Here is a 15,187-nt window from a genome sequence, read left to right as displayed (position 1 = left end):
GTTAGATTTAATATAATGAAGAACAGTCTAAATTTGAGAAGGATAGCAGTGGATGATCTACTAGGTAGTGAGTTCTTTATCATTAGACATGATCAAGCAGAGTATGGATGAACACTACTCGGGATGTAGCAAAAAAAAATTGTTTTGACGATGGATGGGGGTTAAACCTAAGCTTCTACGAATGGTTTCCTTCAGCCTCAACATTCCTTTGATCTCCCTAAGAGTCTATACTTTTGGATCAAGTATGCATAAATGCAATTTGCTTTTAATTTTTGAAAAATGCTTTGAGATGCTCGTGCTGTTCTCATGTATTGAGTCTTTATTTTCTTTTGCAAGTCTCTATTGGAGTCTTTCATCATACCATGTGGTCTCTTGCTTCAGTTTCTTTACTGACGTCCTTTGCTGCCTCACTTCTAAGCCTGTTGCTGTCTCCACCAAAGAGATGCTCAAAGGTTTTTGTTTGAAATCAGAGTCATCTAGAGAGTAAATTTTTCTTCAATATAAAGAGGAAGGAAAGAATGTAGTTCAGATTCCCCTGTTGTCATTGACTCCTCATCTTTTGAACCTTTTTGTGAAACAAAGACAATCTTGAGCAAATTCCCAGGGCCATGTCTCAGCTTACGGATCCTTATTCAATGCCTATTTGTGGAGAGAAATACGCTTTAGCTCTCTGAAATCCAATGTCACCCCTTTCACTTAACAAAAATTACAGTTTGCCACTAGTGCCCAAGAAATCTTTGTATTCTTCAACCTGTAATCTTGGGACCTGAGACTGTAATTTTCCTCTCTCCCCTGGTGAATTCATTTTTACCTTAGCTGCTAGAACTTGCCAATCTATTCCTACATGTGGTGTGTCCTTCTTTAATAGTGAGATATTTAGAAGCTGCTGGAAGAATCTAATCCAGAAATAGGGAAGATTACATAAAGATTAATAATAAATTCAGAAAAAAACTTATTTCATCATGCCAGCAACTGCTTTATGAGGCTAAGGGTGCAAGAACTAACAGTATAAAGGTAATTTCCCAAAATTGTATTCATAACATGTGGGAGGAGCAGGGCTTGAACCTAGATCCTTCAGATGCCAGATCTTTGCTCTTTCCCTAATAATACTGTCAGAGGCCTTTGAACCAGAGCAACTCCATCTTGAATACGGGCTGTGTAAAATGAGGCTGAAACCTACTGGGCTGTATTTGCAGAAAGTTAAGGCATTTTAAGTCACAGGATGAGATAGGAGGTCAGCACAAGATACAGATCGTAAAGACCTTACTGATAAAACAGATTCAGTAAAGAAGCCAGCTAAAACCCACCAACACCAAGATAACAATGAGAGTGACCTCTGGCTGTCCTCACTGCTACACTCCCATTAGCGCCACGACAATTTATAAATGCCATGGTAGCATCAGAAAGTTACCCTATATGGTCTAAAACCAGGAGGTATATAATGATTATTTTGCACATAATTAAGAAATAACCATAAAAATGGAAAACCAGCAGCCCTCAGGGCTGCTATGTCTATGGAGTAGCCATTCTGTTATTCCTTTACTTTCCTAATAAACTTGCTTTCATTTTAATCTATGGGCACGCCCTGAATTCTTTCTTGTACAAGATCCAAGAACCCTCTCATGGAGTCCGGATCTGAACCCCTTTCCCATAACAATAGCTTTCTACTTTTCAATGTCTTTACAATTGATCCTCTTTTTCTATGTTCATGTCCTCTCCTTAGCTCGTCCTCCTCACCTTTAGCCTTCCTTCAAAACTCCCAAGCTCCACAAGTAACCAACCTTACTCACATTCTAAGACAAATGTTCCTCACTGTCCATTCCCTCCCCCATTAACATTTCCTGTCCTGCGTCCAATTTCTTAAGAACTTCATAGATAAATAAGTTAAACTGCCATGTGAAATTACTGTAAAGTACTTATTGCTAATATTAGCAGGGAGTAGAACAGATATAAAAACTTGAATTTTCCCTCTTAAATGGGCCTCTCTGAAGCAGAGGTTCTAAAACTTCACCATGCATCAGAACCCCTTGGTAGACTTGCTAAACCACAAGCCGCTGGGCTCCACCCTCAGACTCTGTGATTCAGTAAGTCTGGGGAGGAGCCAGGAAATCTGCATTGCTAACAAGCTCCTAGGTGACAATGACACTGGGGGGTCTGGAGCTACCCTTTGGAAATCATTGATAAAAATGATAAAACTCGCCGGGCGCATTGGCTCACGCCTGCAATCCCAGCACTTTGGGAGGCCGAGGCGGGCGGATCACGAGGTCAGGAGATCGAGACCATCCTGGCTAACACGGTGAAACCCCGTCTCTACCAAAAACACAAAACATTAGCTGGGCGTGGTGTTGGGCACCTGTAGTCCCAGCTGCTGGGGAGACTGAGGCAGGAGAATGGCGGGAACCCGGGAGTTGGAGTTTGCAGTGAGCTGAGATCGCGCCCCTGCCCTCCAGCCTGGGCCACAGAGCGAGACTCTGTCTCAAAAAAAAAAAAAAAACCCAAAAAAACAAAACAAAACAAAAGATAAAACTCAGTCTCCTCTGCATCATCACACTGGGAAGGGAAACGCCTGGATTTTGAATGGTGGACCACCTTGTATATTTGCGTTTGAGTGGTGTGTTGGAGTCTGGAGAAAAGGCTGTCTCTTAGTTTATACATTCATAAAACGTCTGGGATGGCAAGGATTTGCGAGACTTGCCAGCCCAACCACTTCATTTTTACAAGTGAAGAAGCAGAGGGGAATAGAGCTAGCAGCAGCTCTGGGAGTACAATCCAGGTGCCCTTTTGTGCCCTCTGAATTGGTGAAGATGTAAAGCTGCAAGTCTTTGCTGTCATAGTATTTCTCACCCTGCCCTGCTCCCTTCTCCCCATGGGCTGGCTCCTCCCAGTCATCTGAAGAGCCAGCCTGCACTGGGGGCTTTTATCTATTTTGTTCCAGCATCAGCCACTGCTGTGCTTAATCTGTGTATCTTTCAATGGGGAAAGAAAAAAAAAACCTTCCAAACTGGAAGTTTAAAAACCTTCCCATTTGGCTTTTCTTAATTAAATGTATAATTCATGAGCCATTTAGGTTGAAACCATTGAATTTTTAAATATTTTCTCCACCATCTATGACATTTATCGGTTATTAACGGTTGTGATGCATTTTCCCTGTGATGAGTCAGCAGTAGCATTAGAGCTGAATGATAATTGGTCCTTCCTGAAGCATTTTTTTGTAGTTTCACAATGACTTCGTCCTCTACAATTTTATTATTATTAGAAATGGCAGATCTGCAGTAAGCAATTGAAGACTCTATCTGCTGCTCTCTCAAGCATACAACAAATCCTCTTTTCCCCAGAGTGTGATTATGTTTTGACATCTTTTACAGCCCTATATCTTGTACTGTAATATTTAAAATACAAACAAGAAAGATATATGCAATTATACCCATTATATAGCATGTAATTTTTATTAGAGGAAAAATATCTCATGTGAAAGAGAAGCATCATGATAAACATTGATACTGACAACTTCTATTGGCACTTTAGAACAGATCTCAAAATTGATAGCATGTTTCCTGAGGCAGAAAATAAATGAGTAGAATAAAGAACTTGAAGTATAGTGTTCAGATTTACTGGGTAAATCCCCCCTTTGGAATATTCCAGAATGTGTGTACTTTACTGCAAACCTTGTGTAGTGCTCCAGGGTTAAATGTGACTGACTCTTGGGTGGTCAATCATGGTTATGCTAGCTCAGTGGCAAAAACCTAATCCAAGAAGAATAATTCCTTTTCTGGACTGAAGTCATTGATATTAGGCTGAGGAAGTTTACGATGTAATCCAGAAACGTGCCTAACACTTTAAAATCCACTCCTATTTGAATTCCCATTCGTTCCACAATTACTGCTTGATCACCTGGATTTTATTGGATCCCTTCTGATTTACACATCTACTGTTTGGAATCAAGGAGATGGTGGTTCTTTACGGCCTATGAATGACAGTTAAATAAAGGTCTCATGGGTTCCTAATATTGCTAAGTTCCAAATAACTATAGAACTGGTTGTACATTGGCCAAACCTACTTGGAGAAGGAACGAAAACACAGCTGTCTCAAGGCAAACCCCAAAACTGGGGTTCAGCCTGGGAGGCCACATGAGTTACTGGCTTCTCACAGGAAGGGATTCAAGACCGAGCCAACACTGTAAAGTGAAAGCAAGTTTATGAGGAAAGTAGAGGAATAAGTAACAGTGGCTACTTCAGAGCTGGCTATTTTCGTGGTTATTCCTTGCTCATATGCTAAACATGGGGAGGAACATTCATTAGTTTTCTGGGAAAGAGGAGGAGAATTCCCAGGACTGAAGGTTCCTCACACTTTTAGACCATATTGGGTAGCTTCTAGAAGTTGCCATGGCATTTGTAAACTGTCATGGCGCTGGTGGGAGTGTCTTTTAGCACCTTAATGCATTATAATTAGCATATAATGAGCAGTGTGGATGATTAGAGATAGCTTTTTTCACCATCTTGGTTTTGGTGGGTTTTGGCTGGCTTCTTTACCACATCTTATTTTGTCAGTGGGCTCTTTTTGACTTGTACTTTGCAAAGCCAGTCCTACCGACTCTTATCTCATAGCCAGCTTCTGAGTGAATTGCTAGGAAACCTCCAATTCTTAGGGAGACCAAGCAAGTCATAGGATACAAATATATGAGGACTAGACTTCTCTTTTTCTTCCCAATTTCCATCTTTTATGGGTGAACTTAATACAGTGAATGTAAGAGATGGGCTGTACCAGTGGTTTTCAACTAAGGATAGTTTTGCCCTCTAGAAGTTATCTGGCAATATCTGGAGACAAATTTTCCCACAATTGGAGGAGGCAGTGCGATTGGCATCTAGTAAGTAAAAGCCAGGGATATTACTAAACATCTTAACAACGTGCAGAGCAGTTCTTCCAATAAAGAATTACTCCCGTAGATGTCTATTAGATCTGCTTGGTGCAGAGCTGAGTTCAAGTCCTGAATATCGTTGTTAATTTTCTGTCTTGTTGATCTAATATTGACAGTGGGGTGTTAAAGTCTCCCACTATTATTGTGTGGGAGTCTAAGTTTCTTTGTAAGACTCTAAGAACGTGCTTTATGAATCTGGGTGCTCCTGTATTGGGTGCATATATATTTAGGATAGTTAGCTCTTCCTGTTGCATTGATCCCTTTACCATTATGTAATGACCTTCTTTGTCTCTTTTGATCTTTGTTGGTTTAAAGTCTGTTTTATCAGTGACTAGGATTGCAACCCCTGCTTTTTTCTGCTTTCCTTTTGCTTGGTAAATATTCCTCCTTCCCTTTATTTTGAGCCTATGTGTGTCTTTGCACATGAGGTGGGTCTCCTATGTGTCTTTGCATGTGAGATGGGTCTCCATGTGAGATACTGAATACAGCACACGGAGGAGCCTTGACTCTTTATCCAATTTGCCAGTCTGTGTCTTTTAATTGGGACATTTAGCCTGTTTACATTTAAGGTTAATATTGAAATAGCAAAGACTTGGAACCACCACAAATGCCCATCAATGATAGACTGGATATTATGTCTATCTATCTATCAATGATAGACTGTCACATTTTCTTTAAAATGTGGCACATATACACCATGGAATACTATGCAGCCATAAAAAAGGATGAGTTCATGTCCTTTGCAGGGACATGGATGAAGCTCGAAACCATCATTTTCAGCAAACTAACACAAGAACAGAAAACCAAACACCGCAGGTTTTCACTCATAAGTGAGAGTTGAACAATGAGAACACATGGACACAGGGAGGGGCCCATCACACACTGGGGCCTACTGGGGGTTGGGGGGCTAAGGGAGGGATAGCATTAGGAGAAAAACCTAATGTAGATGGCCGGTTGATGGGTGCAGCAAACCACCATGGCACGTGTACACCTATGTAACAAACCTGCACTTTCTTCACATGTGGCCCAGAACTTAAAGTATGATAATAAAAAGAGAAAAAAAGAATTACTTCCTATCTCCCCAACATCTGGCCCTACTGCCACAAAGTGTACCAGTGTTGGAAAATCCTGACTTCTACACATGGTAACAGGCTGCAACAGGAGAGTTCTGTTTGATGTGCTGGAAAGCAAGGAAAATAGTCTTTCTAAGAGTGAATGGAGTCTGAAAGTGGAGGGAAGGAATGTGCAGCATGGGACTTAAAGAAATAAACTTTCTAGAGAGCTGACTTTGGCCAGCTATGAAGAGTGGGAAGAGCCATGAGCTTCCTGGTTCTAACACTGTACACTAATTTTAGGCAAATCAGTAGACCTCTCTGTGTGTTGTTTACATAGTCTCCAGTAGAGTAAAGAACTCTTGTTATCTCCTTGTATTATTTAAAAACTTTTAAGTGTCTCTTCTGGACCAGATTATGCCAGAGAAAATTAGGGAGTGGAATAAATGCACTGATGTTTAGACAGGATCTTTCGAATTCCAGAGACAAGATCTTGGCCAAGCTATGTTATAGTTAGTTGAGTTTAGTTAACTATAGTTGTTAGCTAACACTAACAATTTTAACACAATACTCAATTTGTAAAATTGAGATATCTTCCCGGAAAATGTTAAATGCGTTGAAGTATTGCAAATGCTAAGTTTAGTGCCTAGTACATAGTAAGTATTCATTATCTTATCCAATTATGTAGTATTAAATATTACTTATATAAGGTGAGTTCCAAATTTAGCTCTTCAAACCAGAGCTTTTGCCCTAAACATATAATCCAGCTGCCTGCTAGAAACTTTCACCCTTGTATCTAACTGGCATCTGAACATTAACATCTCCTAAAACAAATTCCTGATTTACTCCATCCTTAAACCTGCTATCCCTTCATCAACTCCACCCCAATAAATGATACTCCATTTTCCAGTTGCTCGGTCCCAAATCCTTGGAGTTATCTTTTACTTTTCTCCTTCTCTTATAACCCACATTCAATCTTTCAGGAAATTATTTTACTTATACCTTATAAATACATACTGAAGACTGGTAATTATCTATCTGTCTACAGCAATCCACCTGGTCCAAGTCACCATTCTCTCTCACCTGAATTAACACAATCACTTTTTAACTGCTTATGTTCTTGCCCCTCTGTGGTCTACTATCCAGAGTAAATTTTTACAAATGAAAGTCAGAGAAAGCATGTCACTCTTCTGAATATAAACCAGTGAATTTTCATCTTACTCCCAGGAGAAGGCAAAGTCCCTAAAATGTCTGAAAGTAAGGCTGTGTGTCCTCATTTACTCTCCTGTCTGTTCATTTTAATTCACCTATGCTGACCTCAGTGCCGTTCTCCCAACATGCTAGACGTGGTTTCCCCACAGGTTCTTTGACATGCTATTTCCTCCACCTGAACTGCCTTTACTTAATGTGTCTCACTCCCTCACTTCTTTAGTTCTCTGCTCAAATAGCAGTGAAACCTTCTTTTACCTTAGAATATACAATAGCAACATCTACTATTTCCTATCTCCTTTTATTTTTCTTCTGGCTTTTATTACCACCTGTCATGCTTTATATTTCTTTATTATAAGATTCATGGAGCTAAAAACTTTGTCTCTCTTTTCCACTTTATCACTAAAATGCAGAAAAACGAGTGGCACTTAGTAACTACATAATAAATATTTGTTGAGTGAATACCCAGTGTACAAGTTCAATAATACGGTTATTATCGTTACTATTATTATTATACCAAGAGGCAACTATTGGGCCTGTCTGCCTTTTACACTTTCAGAGAGCCTCAGAGTAACATATCCACTGCCAATTTGACCTACCCACTAAGACAAAAGCACTTTCATTTACGCCAGAAACAGCAAGCACACCAACTGGAGGAAGGGGATGTTAAGTTTTAGCACTTTTTTCTCTACATAATTTTCCTCTTTATTTGATAACACAATTGTGAGCCTTTGCTTGGAATGACTTTTAATTTAAGTGGAATTGTCAACATCTTTACTGATGCAAATACAAACAGTGGGCTCAGACAGTCGTGCTATCTTCCTGCTACAGACACAGATGATCCAAACTTTTGGCATCAATTCAACTGTTCTACCAACCTGAAAGTTGCATCTGAGGAGAGAATGGAACATTTCCTCTAAATCAAATTTTAAACCTATAATTTTTATGAGCTCGGGACTTAGTTTCTTTTTTGTTTGTTTGTTTGTTTGCTTTTTGAGATGAAATCTCACTCTTGTCCCCCAGGCTGGAGTGCAAAGGCATGATCTTGGCTCACTGCAACCTCCGCCTCCCAGAGTCAAGTGATTCTCCTGCCTCAGCCCCAGAGTAGCTGGGATTACAGGCGCCTGCCACCACACCCGGCTAATTTTTGTATTTTTAGGACAGACGGGGTTTCACCATGTTGGCCAGGCTGGTCTCGAACTCCTGACCTCAGGTGATCTGCCCACCTTGGCCTCCCAAAGTGCTGGGATTACAGGTGTGAGCCACTGAGCCCCGCCGAGAGTTTCATATCCAACCAATGAAGGGAAAGAGTGTTCTTTACTTTGGATAAAGTGAAACTATTACTACATAGTGAAGGGGGGGTTTAATTATTGTAGATAACATGTATCGTTGCTTCATTCTGTCATTTTTAAATAAGATTTCCTATGAGGCTGGACTAACTCACTGGGTCCATGGAAGTTTATTGATTGCTTGTTTTCATATTCCTTCTTCAGTTTTGGTTTCAAGGGCGTTATATCTGTTCCAAAATTTAAAGGAAATTCTGCCTTCAGCTCTGTTGCAGATAGTTTGTGCCGACATTTTTTGTGACGAGTGACTGAAATTTAACAAAAGCTCACTTTGGAGGTGAGTGAGAATCCATGGTGGAAAGACCTCTCTGCATACAGCTCAAAGTTCAGCCAAAGGCACGGTAACATCCTGCTCCCCAAAAATAAATAAAATAAATACTAAATAAGTTTTGTGGGCTGGGAGCAGTGGCTCACACCGGTGATCCCAGGACTTTGGGAAGCCGAGGCAGGCGGATCACATGAGGCCAGGAGTTGGAGACCCACCCTGTCTCTACTAAAAATATAAAAAATTAGCTGGGTGTGGTGGCATGCACCTGTAGTCCCAGCTACACAGGAGGCTGAGGCAGGAGAATCGCTTGAACCAGGGAGGTGGAGATTGCAGTGAGCCAATATGGCACCTCTGCACTCCAGCCTGGGCAACAGGGCGAGACTCCCTCTCAAAAAAAAAGAGTTTTGTGTTGTCTCTTTCTGTTGCATGAACTGAGGGATGACCTTAGAACCCTGCAGGGACATAGTGAAAGAAATAAAATATTTTTGTTTGGCCAACTAGTAAATTTCGTTCTGCCAAGCACTGAGAAGCTAAAGGAGTACTGAATTCTTCTGAGATAGGTGTCCAAATAGGGAAGAATTATAATAGATACTCGAGGGAATTGTTGGAGATTGTTGGAAAGATGTGGGAAGTCACAGCCTACCAGTGAGAGAGCGTTTAGGAGGAATGAAGGAGACGTTTAACAGGAATCTTAGTGAAGTTTTGTAATCAGATGTGCATTGCAGTCCTCTCTGTGCTGTCCTTACAAAACTTCGTGAAACCTACATTTCTCGGAAATATTTTACAGATAAGATTTTTTGGAAATATGGGAACAAGGACTGAGTCTAGTCCTAAGGACAGAGATTCAGTTACAATCACAAAACCCATCTCTGATTGGGGAATAGGATTAAAAGAGAAATATACTCCTCCACTCAGATTACAGAGAATGGTGCCTATTCTGCTTCCACATTTTGAAATGATAAAATAGAGCGTCTTGAACTGTGTCCTGGCATTATTGCTTAGGTTATTTTTCTTTTGCACTGTGATGCCTTCTCTGCTAGAATAACCTTTCCGTGTAAAACCCTTCCTTTCTAGAGGAGCAGGACATTTGCATCTGTGCTTCAAAACTGGGTGGAAAGCATCCACAGAAGGCCTATGCTGGAGTCAGCCCTCCTTTCGTTTACGCAGAAGAAAGGACAGCTCTATAAAAGTACCTGTTTATTTGGTTTCTGTTGATTACTCTGTTTCATGGGGTTGTGACCAATCATTTACATGGAAAAACCATCTAGACACTTTTCTGTTTTGTTTTTAAAACATGGAGCCATTCTTTGCTGGGTAAATTTATAAAATTTAGCCATGTCGATACTTTTTCTTACTCTCCTATAAAGTTATGTGTGTGTGTGTGTGTGTGTGTGTGTATACCTATATATATCACACTAAAATATATTTGATAGGCCTGCCTTATTAAAAAAAAGTTTTGTATAATTTATGTGAATACACTAAAAAGAAAGCATAAAGAATTCAGGATATTCTGATAATATCAAGTTTAACATGATTTCTCCCTTGCTGCCGAACTCCCTGTGAGACTCATTCTTGCTGACTGTTTATGTTGAAAAAGACAACAGAACTAAGTTATCAAAAATTTGATGTAAAATTTCAGCCTTTGCTGCGCCCGATGGCTCACGCCTGTAATCCCAGCACTTTGGGAGGCCGAGGCGGGCAGATCACGAGGTCAGAAGTGAAACCCCGCCTCTACTAAAAATACAAAAATTAGGTGTTCATGGTGGCACGTGCCTGTGGTTCCAGCTACTCGGGAAGCTGAGGCAGGAGAATCCCTTGAATCTGGGAGGCGGAGGTAGTGGTGAGCAGAGATGGGGCCACTGCACTCCAGCTTAGGCAACAGAAGGAGACTCCGTCTCAAAAAAAAAAAAAAAAAAGTCAACTTTTATGGCCTTCTATCTCTGTGGAGTCTGTGCTACTTTTCTTTATGAGAAGCTTTGTTTAATACTTACACACGAGATTTAAAAAATAATTTGGCCACGCCGACATTTACTTTACAGTGCTCTGTTAACTCCGTCTGCCCCCATGAATATATTTCTAGGACGTTTCTCTGTGAGAGCCATGTGTGGTAGGAAATATGGAGCCTTTAGGGAGATTGGAAATAGAAGAAATAATATTTGAGAAACATATTGTAGGGCAAAATCCCAAGATGACCTTCAACGACCCGTGCCCTTGTATAATTCTCTTCATCTGAGTGTGAGTGCGACTTGTAGCAGGATGAGAGATCATATCCATGATTAGATAAGATTAGATGGCACAGGTTGATTTAAAGAAACTGACTTCAGCTTTTGTGGGCATGATCTGTATCAGGTGAGCCCTCACAAGAGATGGGGCTCTTCCTGACTAAAGAAATTTGAAATGTTCGAGGGACTAAATGTGAGACAGATTCTCTGTTCCTGGCTTTGACATTGGACAAATGCTCATGGCAAGAAATTCAGCAGCCTCTACAAGTTGAGAGTGTCCCTTAACAGCCAGTTATCAAGGAAACAGGGACCTTAACAGCAAGAAACATGATTCAGCCGACAAATATGCTTGGAATCATGATGAGATGCTACTTGTAACATAAATTAAATCTCGGACCAGGTGCGGTGACTCATGCCTGTAATCCCAGCACTTTGGGAGGCCGAGGTGGGCAGATCACCTGAGGTTAGGAGTTTGAGACCAGCCTGGCCAACATGGCGAAAACCCGTCTCTACTAAAAATACAGAAATTAGCTGGGTGTGGTTGTGTGCAAATGTAATCCCAGCTACTCAGTAGGCTGAGGTAGGAGAATCGCTTGAACCCAGGAGGCAGAGGTTGCAGTGAGCCAAGATCGAGCCACTGCACTCCAGCCTGGGAGACAGAGCGAGATGCTATCACAAAAAAAAAAAAAAAAAAAAAAATTGGTATTACACAAGTTTGCCATTACTCCCATGCAGCAAGATTATTCAGTTACAAAGGTCTTAATTTAAGGCAGTTTTTGTAAATGTGTGACTTAATTTTATGGCATCGACCCCACGGGCGCTGTTACAATGAGGGCCTCACACACTAAAAGATCCACATATCCTTTAATGGTGATAGGTGACAAGGTAACAAGGACAAGCGTCTCCTGTCTGGCTGCCTTTTAATTTTTTAAATTTTTTTACATATGGAACTGATTCATTTACAAATATTTTACATTTCTTTTATTCCCGATTAAACAAAGTTGAAAACAATTTTCAGTAGTGTCAAGAATATTTGAATAACATCGTAAGAGCATAAAATGACATAGACTGACAGGACAAACTGATACCATTTTGCATATTTTGTCATCTTAGATTATGGTGCCGGAAAATAATCTTCTATACCGTTAAAAAATAAGCACCAAAAGAGCCTCAGCAATTATTGTGTGTTCTGAAACAATATTATTTTATCTCAATATAGCATTAAAAGCATTGCAACTCTTCCCTATCATATCAGGTGAATATAATGCCATAATACTCTCTAATAATACCGAATAAGATATTGTTAACTTTGAATTAGCTTTCTTTTCTTTTGGTCATGGCAATTCATGAGGTTGTGTAAAAATAATAATGGAAAAACGCTTTCAAGTTTCTCAAGGCTCATAAATAAGATTTGGTTTAACATTAAAAGTAAATTGCTTAAATTTTATTTTTAAACATCTGTCCTTTGTATTTTAAAAGTTCTCCCATTCCAGAGTGGAAATCAATTATAACAACTGCAGTGATAGTTAAGAGCTGAGGGTCTGGGAACCAGACTTCCTGGATTTGAATATTGGCTTCATTGCCTGCCAGCTGCGTGACCTTGGACCAGTTAATTAACATCTTTCTATTTCTCTATAGTGTACTGAGCCTGTAAAACAATAATTATACTCATATATCTCTTATAAGTTTTTGTGAAAATTTAAGAATCTAATACATGTTAAAGTCCTTGGGTCTGTGCTGTGTAAGTCCTTGCTGTTATTAAGCTTTCTATAATATAGTGTGATATTGGTTTGTACCAAATGACTCCATGGATGTTTTCACACTGCCTCCTTCAGGTTCACTGTGAGTTGAGAATCACGACTAAATTTACCACATCATGTGAAATTTGAGAAAATCCATTCCCAAGAGGATGAGAATCAGTAAGTAGTTTGGATCCCTGACAACGGGCCAGTCCACTGACCAAGCCAGAGTCTTCCAAAGTAGAGGCTGGCATTTATTGCTTGATTTTTACCATTGCCAGGAGACATTCTGATTTGGTGCTATACAGAATTTGCTTCCAGTTAATGGTGATCTATCCCTTCCGGTAATTAATGTGACATTGCCAAGAGGAGTGTTAGTTGGAATTTGCTTCTCCATAGAGCCCAAAAATAAAAACGTAGTAACAATCTTAACTTTCTTTACTTACTAAAGTATTAGTTATTACACTACTCAATTTACATTTATTAGCTCATTTAACATTTACAACAAAACTGAACAAACAAACAAACAAACAGTTAATGTCTCTATTTTATAGATGAGAAAACCAAGCCTCAAAGTGGGGTAAATAAATTGTCCCCTTGTCATGAAGTTTGCCTGTCACAGCACCGAATTACAGCTGCGGTCAGTTTCTCTAAAAAGCCCTGGCACTCACACTACGTACAATGCCATGATGTATCTCCTTAAAAACATATTTGCTGTGTGGCTGCTTGAACGAATATTTTTAAAAGAAAATGTTTAGATATAGAACTATTTGTATGCAGTAGATGCACTTGACGAGAGTCACAATTTCTTTGATTTGATAAAAGGTGATCACTGAGCCTAAGACCTGATGTGCTCACATCACTCTCCAAGTGACCGCATTGATGATATGACCCAAATCACCCCATCATACCTCCAAAATGTGGCGGTGGGCCACAGAGAAGCACCACACCTTGACCTTCTCGGACAGATACTGTGCTTCTTGTTTTAGTTTCAAAGTCTTCAATATCTTGGAAAACAAAGAAAAGCAGATTTATAATTAGTTACTTTGCAGAATAAATATTTTAAAGAAGAATCTCAAGAATGTTTTTATTATTAAGGGGAATTAATCTCATACTTTGCTGACCAGAAGACTTAGTTGACAATCAATTTAACTGCACTTATTATTATCTTGCAAAATCTTGTGTTTCTTTCTTTCTTTTTAATTAAACACAGTATGTGATAAAGACAATACTCACTATCTGTTTGCTTTTATTCTTCCAGACAGTGTAGCCTAGCAGGAAATCTGTGAAGCCCAACACATATTTACTTTGTCTGTCCAAGGAAGGTGTGATTTTAGAAAGGTATGTCACAAGTTTGCTGCAGTCTTCCAACATCTTAGATTAATGGTTGCCATTTTAAAGTGTGACTGGCATCTATGAGAATTTAGGATGTAATGGTGTGAGGGAAAGAGTTCTGTGTGACAGAACCAATGAGACAAAAAGTGTATTTTCAATTTTCTCTTGATTTATTCCTTTACAAAGCAGGCTCATGATCTTATTTGGAATGTGGTGATTTCCTGCATAACAGAATCACAGAAATTCAGAGTTGAAAGAGTGCTTACTAGCTATCTTGTTAAGCCATCTGAGGTATAAATCTTTCCACCTTCCTGAAGAATGGTCACCCATTCTCCTAAATTGTTTAACTTCTTTGAGCCTCAGTTTCTTTACCTGTAAAATCCTTTCATTCATTCAATTAGTTATTTAATGAATTAACCTACTAATCTGGGTGTGGTGGCTCACTCCTGTAATCCCAGCACTTTGGGAGGCTGAGTCAGGCAAGTTGCTTGTGGCCAGGAGTTTGAGACCAGCTTGGCCAATATGGCAAAACCCCATCTCTACTAAAATTACAAAAATTAGCCAGGCATGGTGGCACACGCCTGTAATTCCAGCTATGTCAGGAGGCTGAGGCATGAGAATTGCTTGAACCCAGGAGGCAGAGGTTGCAATGAGCCGAGATTGCGCCACTGTACTCCAGCCTGAGAGACAGAGCCAGAATCGGTCTCAAAAAAAAAAAAAAAAAAAAAAAAAAAAAAAGAAAACCTACTAAAAGACAGAAGTAGTATTCAGGGGAGAAGGTTTATTTGTGAATAAAACAATAAAACAGGCAGGTATTTTACCTTTATTGTGCTTACTATCTAATGGGAAGACCAGAAGATTGTTTTTAAAATGAATACATCATTTACAAATTGTGGTAAGTGTCCTTGAGTGTAGACTGAAATTGTCTACCAAGATCTATTCTTCCTTCTCCCATAATAATAGACTTGTTATCAAACATGCTTGTCTAACCAGAGATCACATTTCCCAGATTTCTTTGCAGCTAAATATGGCAAGCAAAAATGATGAATGAAACTTTCACTTACTATGTTTGAGAGGAAATCTCCACAAATTTTGATGTTC

General features: G+C 39.7%; 1 protein-coding gene across 23 annotated transcripts in view; it reads right to left on the bottom strand.

Moving 5' to 3' along the window:
• Positions 1-15,187, bottom strand: part of CNTN6 (contactin 6) — a 311,194-nt gene that overhangs the window by 112,047 nt on the left and 183,960 nt on the right. For all 23 annotated transcript variants that reach the window (XM_011533590.3, NM_001349351.2, NM_001349354.2 and 20 more), the window contains one exon: positions 13,663-13,758. In XM_011533590.3, coding sequence (XP_011531892.1) covers positions 13,663-13,758 — 96 coding nt within the window. The remainder of the gene's footprint in view (positions 1-13,662; positions 13,759-15,187) is intronic.

The sequence above is a fragment of the Homo sapiens genome, chromosome 3, assembly GCF_000001405.40.
Source record: "Homo sapiens chromosome 3, GRCh38.p14 Primary Assembly".
In the NCBI taxonomy this organism is placed as follows: domain Eukaryota; kingdom Metazoa; phylum Chordata; class Mammalia; order Primates; family Hominidae; genus Homo; species Homo sapiens.
The sequence above is the reverse complement of the archived record's forward strand: the minus strand, read 5'-3'. Positions and strand labels throughout refer to the sequence as shown.